At 49.9% G+C, this 11,674-nt stretch overlaps 3 annotated features.

Annotated features, from left to right (window-relative positions):
* Nucleotides 5,228–5,728: an enhancer, noted in NCBI's record as "H3K4me1 hESC enhancer chr2:130672475-130672975 (GRCh37/hg19 assembly coordinates)". NCBI's record gives its function as "activates a minimal SCP1, AML or CMV promoter by ChIP-STARR-seq in naive H9 embryonic stem cells {active_cell/tissue: H9 hESC(naive)}" and the evidence as "EXISTENCE:reporter gene assay evidence [ECO:0000049][PMID:30033119]".
* Nucleotides 5,729–6,229: an enhancer, noted in NCBI's record as "H3K4me1 hESC enhancer chr2:130671974-130672474 (GRCh37/hg19 assembly coordinates)". NCBI's record gives its function as "activates a minimal SCP1, AML or CMV promoter by ChIP-STARR-seq in naive H9 embryonic stem cells {active_cell/tissue: H9 hESC(naive)}" and the evidence as "EXISTENCE:reporter gene assay evidence [ECO:0000049][PMID:30033119]".
* Nucleotides 11,154–11,674: an enhancer, noted in NCBI's record as "H3K4me1 hESC enhancer chr2:130666529-130667049 (GRCh37/hg19 assembly coordinates)". NCBI's record gives its function as "activates a minimal SCP1, AML or CMV promoter by ChIP-STARR-seq in naive H9 embryonic stem cells {active_cell/tissue: H9 hESC(naive)}" and the evidence as "EXISTENCE:reporter gene assay evidence [ECO:0000049][PMID:30033119]".

Below are 11,674 nucleotides of genomic sequence, written 5' to 3'. Positions count from 1 at the left end.
TTTCATTTCTGTCAATGTTTGCTTTACATATTTAAATGTGCTGATGTTGGGTGCGTATATTTATGATTGTTATATCTTCCTGATGAATTTATCCTTTTATCATTTTAAAATGTCTTTCTTTGTCTCTTGTGATAGTTTTAGGCTTAGAGTGTATTTTGTCTGCTATAAGTATGTCCATCCCCACCCTGTTTTATTTAGTATTTGTATGCACTTATATTTACTGCACTTATATTTAAAATAATTATCCTAGGGAAGGACTTACTATTGACATTTTGTTAAACATTTTTTAGTCTGTGTGGTTCTTTTGTTTCTTTTTTTCTCTGTTGTTGCCTTTGTGTTTCATTGGTTTTTTTGTAGTGATATGTTTTGATTCCTTTCTCTTTTCTATTGTGTATCTTCGATAGGTATTTCTTTTATGATTATCATGAGGCTTGTATAAAACATAGTTATAACAGTCTATTTTAAGCTGATAACAACTCAATTTTGCTTGCATTAAAAACCCTGTATGTTTACTTCTCCCCACCCCATACTTTGTTTTTGATGTCGAAATTTATACATTTATATTGTCTCTACTCACACTTTTTGTAGTTATAGTTATTCCTAATAGTTTTGTCTAATTTTTGTACTGAAATTAAGTGTGATTTTTATACCACCTTTATAGTATTACAACATTCTGTATTTGTCTATGTATTTGCTTTTTCCAGTGAGTTTTATGCATTTATTTGCTTTATGTTGCTGTTTAGCATTCTTTTTTTTTCAACTTGAAGAGATTCTTTAAGCATTTCTTGTAAGGCAGATCTAGTGGTGATGGATTCCTTCAGCTTTTGTTTGCCAGTGAGTATCTCCTGTTCATTTTTGAAAGATAAGTTTTCTGGATATAATATTTTCAGTGGGCACCATTTTTCTTTCAATGTTTTAAATATATTACCTTACTTCTTTCTGACCTGCTAGGTTTCTGCTGAGAGACCCACTGATGGTCTCCTAAAGGTTCCCTTGTATATGATGAGTTGCTTTTTCCTTACTGCTTTCAAAATTCTCTTTGTCTTTGAATTTTGAAAATTTGATTATAAATTTATCTCAGATTTCTTTGGGTTCTTCCTATTTCGGATCCTTTGGGATTCATGAATCTGGAGGTCCATTTCTCTTTTGAGGAGTTTTCAACCTTTCTCTTTCTTTCCTTTCTTTCTCTCTCTTTCTTTCTTTCCTTCCTTCCTTTCTTTCTTTCTTTCTTTCTTTCTTTCTTTCTTTCTTTCTTTCTTTTTTTCTTTCTCTCTCTCTCTCTCTCTCTTTCTTTCTTTCTTTCTTTCTTTCTTTTCTTTCATCTCTCTTTTCTTTTTTTTTTGATGGAGTCTCACTCTGTTGCCCAGGCTAGAGTGCAGTGGTGTGATCTTGGCTTATTGCAGCCTCCGCCTCCCACATTCAAGCCATTTTCTTACCTCAGCCTCCCGAGTAGCTGGGATTCCAGGAGCCTGCCACCATGCCCAGCTAATTTTTGTATTTTTAGTACAGATGGAGTTTCACCATGTTGGCCAGGCTGGTCTTGAATTATTGACCTTAAGTGATCCACCGGCCTTGGCCTCCCAAAGTGCTGGGATTACAGGCATGAGCCACTGTGCCTGGCTGTCAGCCATTATTTCTTTAAACAAGTTTTCTGCCCATTTCTCTCTCTCCACTTCTGGGTCTCTCTCTCTCCACTTCTGGGACTTCTGTAATGTATACATTAGTTCACTTGAAGGTGTCCCTTAATTTCCTTAGGCTTTCTTAACTTTTTCATTCTTTTTCTCTTTATTCGTCTGTGATCAAGTCTGATGTTGAAACATTCTCTTGAATTTTCAGTTTAGTTAATGTATTCTTCAGCTCCAGAATTTCTGTTTGGTTCTTTTTTATGGCTCTGTCTCTTTGTGGAAATTTTCATTTTGTTCATACATTGTTTTCCCTTCCTTCCTTCCTTCCTTCCTTCCTCCCCTCCCTCCTTCCCTCCCTCTTTTCTTTTTTTTCTTTTCTTCTTTCTTTCTTTCTTTTCTTTCTTTCCTTTCCTTTCCTCCCTCCCTTCTTTCCTTCCTTCTTTCCTTCCTTCCTTCCTGCCTTCCTTCCTTCCTTCCTTCCTTCCTCTTTTCTCTTTTTTCTTTCTTTCCTTTCTTTCACTTGCAAGGGTGCAACAGGCAGCACAGCAGAGAACAGGCTATCTGCGCATGTATTATTTTCTTGATTTTGCTTAATTCATTGACATTCTGTATGGTGATTATTTTGAATTCTTTGTTAGACAATTCATAGATCTCCATTTCTTCAGGGTTGGTTACTGGATATTAATTTTTTCCTTTTGGTTGTGTCATATTTCCCTGATTCTTCATGTTCCTTGTAGTTTTGCCTTGGTTTTGTGCATTTGAAGACACAGACACCTTTCCCAATCTTTGTGGACTGGCTTTGAGAGGGAAAGAACTCTGCCAATCAGCCTGGCTACAGATTCCAGGAACTTCTCAAACCTTGTGTAAGAATGTGTATGCTCCACTCCTCTCCTTCCTTCCTGGTAGAGAAGTCTCTGGATTGTGCACTTTCTCCCAGTCTTACAAAGCCATGCTAGTTGCAATTAGCTACCCACTCCATTAATTTGCTTTTAGCTTCAATCACGTGTTTAAATTATGCCAGTTCTTCCAGAGCTCTGGGTGAGGTGGGATAGAAAGTGATTCCTTGGGCAGCACCCCAAAATACTGGGAACAATAAATATATACTCCACTCACTTTTCGTTTCTCACTGATGGAGAAGTCATGGACTGAGATACTTTCTGCAGGCCCTGAGCTATGCTAGTTAGATAAAATTGCTCTTGTCACCCATTTCAATGTGGCTGCTCTCTCTTTCAAATTATGGACTTGTCATAAAGGTACTTTGCTTTGTATATCATTGTTAAGTTGATGCTTGTATGGGAGGATGAGGACTGGGACCTCCTATTTCACCATATTATTGACATCACTACCTTACATTTCTTAAACTTTCTCTTATATTTTTCATCTCTTGATCTCTATTCTCATTGAGTTTTTCAGGTCTTCCTGTTTACTGTTTCTTTCTTCAAACATATATAATTTGCTATTAAACCCATCTTTTTGGATTATTAATCCAAAAACTATGTTTTTAATTTCAGAAAGTTATATTTGAATATATTTCAAAACAGCATGTACTTTTATAAAATTGTGCCATCTTTATGTTCTTGAATTCTTGTTGCCTGGTCCTATGTAAATGTTAACACTTAGCCCTCTAATTAACTGGTACTAATACCTTCCCACTCTACTATTGGCATCATGGCAGCAGCTTATATACTTCAGAGTGTAGAATTTAGTTTTTTCTTTGTTTCTGTCCAAAGATTTTAAAAAATTTCTTATGAGCTTAGCTATGCATGTAATATTTGTTGTACTTACCCCAGTATTTCTTGGTGTCTCTATTTGAAGAGGTTTGGGGTCATTTTAGTCCACCATCTTTTTTTGTTGTTGTTTTTTGAGATGGAGTCTCAGTCTGTCGCCCAGGCTGGAGTGTAGTGGTGTGATCTCGGCTCACTGCAACCTCTGTCTCCTGGGTTCAAGCAATTCTCCTGCCTCATCCTCCTGAGTATCTAGGATTACAGGCACATGCCACCAAGCCTGGCTAATTTTTTGTGTTTTTAGTAGAAATGGGATTTTACTATGTTGGCCAGGCTGGTCTTGAACTCCTGACCTCAAGTGTTCCTCCCACCTTGGCCTCCTAAAGTGCTGGGATTATAGGTATGAGCCACTGCACATGGCTAAGTCCACCATCTTATAGGACCTGGAAATCAGTTTATTCTATTCATGTGAGGAAACTTAGGCCATAGCGGGAAAATGGCTTGGCCAAGACTAACTAGCACTTCAGTTACAGAGTTTGAATAAGAGCTCATATCGCCTAATATAGTGGGCCTGTCAGGATGATCGAGGTCCCTATCCTGCCAGCATTGCCCTCCTATGCTTCCCTACCAAGCCAGAAATAAGCAATGCAATTCTCCTCATTAACCTACATGAACACCTTGCCTCAAGGTATCCACCAGGATACTAGAAAGTGGTTAAGGTGCGGATTTTGGATGCTTTCCCTGCAGAACACAAAACAAGTCTCTGAGCTGAGCTTAGTTCAGTGCTAAAGGCTGACATGAACCTTTTAGACCGGCTGGGTGGTGATGGCATCAGAGAGAGAGCTGTTGGCTGCCTGCCTCTGCTCCTGCCAGAAGACTCTCTTGGTCTCTTCCAGCCTCCATGCCATGGCTGCCTTGCTCAGTGTCTTCTTCTGTGGGGGGAATACCTGCTCCTCATTTACTTGGGCATCTGAATTTATGGCCTCTCAAAGTGGGCAAGACACAACACGATAGATGCCCTCACTGGCAATGCAATTAGAGACTGTCACTCCATGTGCTGGCCAGGGGAGCCCTTCTGCCAGCCCATAAAGGGGATGGAGAGGTGCTTCAGGGATATGAAATTATGTCTAGTGAAACAGATAAATTAACTGATGTTTACGCTTGTGCTCATTTAAGCTCCAAGAAAGACTTGCTTAAAAAGCAGCCACATAAATTGTGGAAGAGGAAGAGGGAAGATTAATTGAAATATTAAATCAACTTTATGGGTGTGCAGGAGAATGCATTTCAAGCGCATTTGTCACCAGCTCACTGAGGCAGCACCATTTAGGATGCTGATTTATAAATAGGAAGGGGAATGGCTGAGAAATCGGAGTGCTTCCATGTGCTACCAAATTAGAGGAGTCCTATGAGAAAGAGTGTTCTTTGGCACTTGTCTGAATGTAGAATCTGGTGAGGTCCTACCCTTCTCAGTTTTCTTGTTCTGAAACGATGGGGGACTGTGCTCTGGACAGTGGGATGTGCAGGCCAGGTAATAGCAGGGCTCCCAGAGGTGTTATTTCAGTGCGTGAGTCCACAGAGAGGCCTGGTGGTAGATGGGGGTTTACATATGCACCTCTCCCTGTGCCAATGTCCCCTCTGCATTTTCCACCCAAAACTTAAGATGCTCTAATATGCTAGTCTGCTAATTAATCTATTATCTGTCTCCTGTTAGTAGAATGTAAGCTCTGTGAGGGACAAGCTTTTGTCTGCTTCATACCCTGCTCTGCCAACCGCCCTAGAATAATGTGCCACAGGTAGATGCTCCATGAGCATTTGTTGATAGAATGACTAAGCTCTGTTTCAGGCTGGTGAGACCTGCCATCTGTTACTGTGCCTGGCTGCCCTGTGTGTGTGTCATTGTGCCTGCTTGTTCTGTCTGTCACTGTACCTGGTTGCTCTGTCACTGTGTCTGGTTGTTCTGTCTGTCACTGTTCCTGATTGTTCTGTCACTGTGCCTGGCTGCCCTGTGTATCTGTCACTGTGCCTGGCTGCCCTGTCTGTCACTGTGCCTGGCTGCCGTGTGTGTCTGTCACTGTGCCTGGCTGCCCTGTGTGTCTGTCACTGTGCCTGGTAGCCCTGTTTGTCACTGTGCCTGGCTGCCCTGTGTATCTGTCACTGTGTCTGGTTGTCCTGTCTGTCTGCCACTGTGTCTGCCTGCCCTGTCTGTCACTGTGCCTGGTTGCCCTGTCTGTCTGTCACTGTGTCTGGTTGTCCTGTCTGTCTGCCACTGTGTCTGCCTGCCCTGTCTGTCACTGTACCTGGTTGCCCCGTCTGTCTGCCACTGTGTCTGCCTGCCCTGTCTGTCACTGTGCCTGGTTGTTCTGTCTGTCACTGTACCTGGTTGCCCTGTGTGTCTGTCACTGTGCCTGGTTGCCCTGTGTGTCTGTCACTGTGCCCGGCTGCCGTGTGTGTCTGTCACTGTGCCCAGCTGCCGTGTGTGTCTGTCACTGTGCCCGGTTGCCGTGTGTGTCTGTCACTGTGCCCGGTTGCCCTGTCTGTCTGTCACTGTGCCCGGTTGCCCTGTCTGTCTGTCACTGTGCCCGGTTGCCCTGTGTGTCTGTCACTGTGCCCGGTTGCCCTGTGTGTCTGTCACTGTACCTGGTTGCCCTGTCTGTCTGTCACTGTGCCTGGTTGCCCTGTGTGTCTGTCACTATACCTGGTTGCCCTGTCTGTCTGTCACTGTGCCTAGTTGCCCTGTGTGTCTGCCACTGTGCCTGGTTGCCCTGTCTGTCACTGTGCCTGGTTTCACTGCTGTCTGTCACTGTGCCTGGTTGCCCTGTGTGTCTGTCACTGTGCCTCGTTGCCCTGTCTGTCACTGTGCCTGGTTGCCCTGCTGTCTGTCACTGTGCCTGGTTGCCCTGCTGTCTGTCACTGTACCTGGTTGCCCTGTGTGTCTGTAACTGTGCCTGGTTGTTCAGTCTGTCATTGTGCCTGTCTTGCCATGTCTGCTCCCACTCTGAGGCCAGAGAACTGCTGTGTCGCTGTGTGTGGCCCTGCTCTGCTGACTTCCCTCCTTCAGGGCAAGTGTGAGAGCAGTCTTCTCAGTGGGCTCAAGCAGACACGTCCGGCATGGTCTGGTTTGGGGTGCCCAATGTTTGTAGGAGCTGTCTGGGAGCTTCAGCTGCCCCTCCCCTGGAGACTGTGTGGTCTGGGAAGAAGCTGAGCTTGGCTAACCCACTCCCACTGGGATCAGGGGGTGCCTGGTCCCATGTGGCTCATTGTCCAGGCAAACTGGAGGGAATCCCAGGGTCAGTTTAGGAAAATCCTGCTTGTTGCACCACATTTTACACCGTGGAAAGCGAGGCACAGGGCATTGGATAATTTCCTCAAAGTTATGTGGCTTCCAATGGCAGATGTAACGCCAGGTTTTGACTCCCAAAGCAGCCATTCCCGTCTGTCCAGACTCCTCTAAGTTACTATGCAATCTTGTTGGGTTGAGTATAAGGGAGAGAGATCCTGAACCCACCCCTGGGCTGCCTCCAGAGGCCTCCAGGCCACTTGGAGTCTGGACTGACAGGTAGTCAAGGCCTTCGCCGGACGGCAGGGGAAATGGAAGGAGTGGCCTCTGTCGGGGGTCTGCTCTGGGCTGGGTGCTCTTCCGGTGCCCTCTCCCTTGGTCCTGACTGTGTTTACAGCTGGGGCTCAGACATGAGGCCACGTGTTCCGGCTCTCACAGTGAGAGGTATAGGCCTGGCGTGTCAGGCCCCTGCCCCAAGCGGCTTCTGTATGGGGCCTGCCTGCTGCACTTCCACTGTCTTTGGTGATTCCCAGAGAGCTTGTGGCTTCCAGAGTTTTCACATCACTTGATCTCTTGTGCTGGAGCCTGAGATTCTGCTACCCTAGTCTGCCTGGGTCACCTCGCACCACCCACCATGGCTGTAAGAAAACCAGGGAGCCCACCTTACTCTCTGCCTTGCACCCCATGACCAGTGTCCCTGTGCAGCCTCCACATGCGCCCTGCTGTCCTGTGACTGGCCTCTGGTAGTTTGGGGCCGTAGCCTCAGCTGGCCTTGGCACCATGGGGAACGGAGGTCTGGCTGCAGGAACAGAGCCATGGGCCAGCTCGTCCCCTGCTGCAGCCTGCCCTTGGCACAGAGGGGGGTAAATGCCCACAGAGTGAGCTGGAGAGCTCGAAGAAATGGACAACACACATGTATGAATCCATGTGCACACATGCCCACACGGAGACACATATACCCCTATGATCAAACCCATGCTCAGATTTCCTGCATGGCACACACCCAGACACCCACACAGCCACATGGACGTGTGGCAACAGGGGCACTGCATGGAAACGACCTTTATCCGGTACTTGATTCCTTCCCCGTGGAAATAGATCACACTTTATTTGATGAGCAACTGAACAAAACTCCACTGAACTCTGGGCACACAAGTGGACTCGGCCTTGTTTGGGAGAGACCCCAGGTGCTGCCTCGCCAAGTCTCCTCTGCGGTGTCGGGGCCTCCGCTCCTGCTCTTGCCGCCCAGCTCTCCGGACTCCTGCTGCATCCTGCCCAGCTGTGCCCCCTTCCCACCAGCACAGCCTGCGCATCCCTCAGCCCCTCCTCTGTGCCCTCACCCTGGGCCCGCCCTACATGTGTCCTGGGCTGTACTGTGCCCTTTGGAGAAGGCGCCCTGCTGTCTGTGGTGCTGTCCCTTTCCTGCAGACAGGACTGGCCTGGCTGGGGTGACTGAGCCCGGGGTAGGTCGTTGTCCCACTCTGCTTCAGTTTAACTTCCTGTAAGAAGGAGTTAGTGACCCTCCATCAGCGGGACTGACCTGAAACAATGATGTGGCGAACCTCACGTGCCCGCTAGGCCTCAGGCCTCAGGAAGGTGCTGCTCTTTGACCACAAACGTAGAGGCTGGGACAGTGCGGCCTGTCAGTGCGCCGCTCCATAGGTGAGAGGGATGATGATGTAATGCATCTGCGCTCTCTGCTCAGTCTCGCCAGGCTGAAATCAGGGTGCTGCCTGAGTTTGCGTCTGCAGGCTCTGGGGATGAATATGCTTTGAAGCTCATTCAGGTTGCCCTGCAGTCTTGGTTGCAGGGCCGAGGTCCCTGCCTCCTCCATGCTGCTCTTTGTGGGATGCTGGGCTGTCCCCTTTGCCCTGCTTCTCTCCTCCCTTGCCCTGCCCTGCCCTAGGGAGAGACCCTCTGCACACGCCCTGGGGCTCCCTTGCCCATTGGCTTCCTGCTAGGTCTGGCCGGTGGGAGGCACAGGCAGGGGTTGAGGATGGGCATTCCTTCCCTGCCCGCTTCCTGCTGGGCTCCGTTTCTTGGTGCTACTTGCCCGGACCCTCCCCGGGTGGTAAGGTAACGTGGTAAGAGGGTGGTAAGAGGCCCCCACTGTGGCTGGCCCCCCAGGGTCCACTCATGCCTCAGTGTCAGCCTTTCACTTGAGCCAACCAGGATGAATTCTGTTTCCTGTGGGGACGCTGAATGCTGGGTGTGCCCAGAGAGTGGGAGCTCCGGCAGGGAGGCTGGGGCCTGGGAAGGGGAGTGATCCTCAATGACCCGGCTGCGGTGGGGGTCAGAAAAGAAGATTGAGGTCTTCTCAGCTTCCCCTGTATTCCAGGCACAGCAATGGGGCATGACAGACATCCCCGAGTTATCCTCACACTGGCCCCTATGCTTTTTCTGGATGGGGCAGGAGGCTATGAGAAGCTGGTGACTGCCCAGGCAGTACCATGGAGGCCAGGTCTGTCCACCGCAGACCCCAGCCATGCCGCGTGCTGTCCAGGGGAGGGCTGGGTGATGGCCAGAGACCACAACTTGCTGCAAGGTGTGGACAAGTGACACCCTGTTCTGATTCCAGTTGCCACGACTTACTGCAAGGTTGGACAAGGGGCACCCTGTTCGGATTCCAGTTGCCTCGCTGGCAGAGGGAAGACAGATCCCACTGTGGGAGACCCCTCTGCTTGAACACTTCCAGTGGGACTCCCTCTGCTCCTGGGGATACTGGTCCATCTCCTGCAGGGATTCTCCCACCGCCTTACTTGTTAGGATTGGTCCTGCCACAGAGCAAGCCCAGTCCCTTCTTTCCTGGCCCTTCAGATCTTCCTGGGGGCAGAACCCAGCCCAGCACAACAAGTGGGGCCTTCGGGGCTTCCTTCCCAGTCCTCTCAGGACCTGTGAGTACAGGGCCCCAGCCAGGGCTCCAGCCCATGCCACACTTCCTCCCAGTGCTCAGCTACAGGGTCCTGACTGACCTCATGCCTTGGATCCAAGGCACCCTGTAGGGGGGTGCTTCTCACTCAATGGACAGACAGACACCACATGCGGGCAAAGGGAACATAAGGTGACCCCAGCGTCAGTGCAGGGGTGGGGCCGCACATGCCATGCACAGCCCAGGACCTGCCCTGTGGAGTTGGAGTTTCCTTCCAACCAAAGGAAGGAGGGTATATGTGGTCTGGGATTCCCGGGCAATTGAGGGGGCCTGCCTCAGCGGTGGCATCAGGACGGGGCGTCTCCAGTGGGCATCTCCACAGGGCCAGGCCTGGGACAGCCATGGCTTCCCATTGCTTGCCTGAGGCACATTAAACAGGCCCTGGCAAGGCCACAGGCTCCTGCCTCCCCAGGTTTCTTGTTTCTCTTCATCTTTGCATGAGGTTTGTTTGCATGTGTTTGGCTGTGATAACTGAGACTGAGATCACACCTGAGGGAGGACTTCAGGGGGCAGGAGAGGCCCCCTTCCTGAGCAGTGCCTGTGTCACCTGGGGCCAGGAGCCCCTGAGACTGAGACCTCTCCATCCCACGGCAGCACTGCCTCCTCTGTCCCTGGCCACCTGTCCCTGCCCACCATGCGATGAGTTGTGATGATGAGCATTAGAGACAGAAAGAAGCTACGCTGGATCCAGAGATTATGACATGGTGATGGGAGAGGGGATTTTTGCCTTTGTAATCCTTAGATCATACCCCTTTGGTCAAGGCATAGGACTCCCAGTTTGTCCCTGTGGTGCTGGTGGGCCTCAGTGGCACAGGTGGGCTTGGGGTGCCTCTGAGCTGGAAAGACGTCACCCCCATGGGGGGTCCCAAGGCCCCGTGGGTCCAGACCTGCTATGGTATCCAAGGAGTGAAAGCTGAGGAGCTGAGCAGTTGGTCTGGTGGGGCCCTGTGGACTGTGCCACCTACAACACCCCTCAGGGGTCTCGCCTGTCACTCCTGGAAAGGCCTTACCCTGCTGCACAATTCACAGAGCGTCAGACAATGCCTGTGGGCCTGGTCTCAGGAGCCGGAGAAGGATTCTCTGTGCGGAACTTGCAGGCTGTGCCTTAGGGGTCCCCAGACTGGCAGGAGGGCAGTCAGGGCTCTGAGCCTTCCACGCCCACGTCATCCAGGCCCGTGCTGCTTTCACCTGTTTGATATGGGGTGTTTCCTTTTCAGACTTCATTTGGAAAAGGAGTCCACAGCTAAAAGCACCTGGGAACACTGTGGACCCCGGGAAGGCTGTAGCCTGCTTTTTGGCATGGTGTCCCTTCTCCTGGCCACACTCCATGTGCCTCCTGGGCCACGTTGCCCTGAGGGCAAGAATCTGAAGCTCAGCATCTCGGGCTCTGGCTGGCCCAGGCTGGAGTTCCCGCTTCTCCGCCATCTCTCACCCTTCCTGTCCTGCAACCCCACAGTGGAGTGGGCTTTGGGAGGACCCTCATGGGGTGGGGGTGGACAGTGGGGAGGGGATTTGAACATTGTAGAGAACCCTTCTTTGGAGGAACTTTGAGGCCCCATCTGTGGAAAAATGTGGAAAAAGTTGTTTAATGAGTTTAATAATCATATCAGAATCATTTTTCTGTGTAACCAAAACCGTCTGCATCCAGAGCTTACTGTAAAATATAGGTATCAGGAGGCAGGGCTTTTTATATTTGTGAATATTTCTGTATCACCTTGTGACAACCTCATAAATATTGTTGAAGGATGGCGGCTTGCCTCTGAAAATCCTTTCCACTGTGGCAAATGGTCCTGCCCTGGACAAGTACAGACAGCCAGGGTGGAGCGTGAGCAGGCCGAGGGGCCAAGGCTAGCCGTGGGGAGGGGCTCGCTGAGCCTGGTGGGGGTTGCGGAGGGCCAGGCTGAGCTCTGGAGATGGGTGGTCAAGCTTCATCTGGCTGCTGCGAGGCTCCCCCAGGGCACCTCTGGCACTCCTCAGTGGGCACCGGGCCTTCACCATCTTCATCTCACAGAGGTGAGGCAGGGGCTGGAGGTGGCTGGGTATCAGGCCGGGTGACCCCATGTGAGAGCAGCTGGGAGTTCAGCAGAGCCAGATGGCTCTGGGTGTGAGTGCTGCCCGC

Source organism: Homo sapiens, chromosome 2, assembly GCF_000001405.40.
Source record: "Homo sapiens chromosome 2, GRCh38.p14 Primary Assembly".
NCBI lineage: Eukaryota > Metazoa > Chordata > Mammalia > Primates > Hominidae > Homo > Homo sapiens.
The sequence above is the reverse complement of the archived record's forward strand: the minus strand, read 5'-3'. Positions and strand labels throughout refer to the sequence as shown.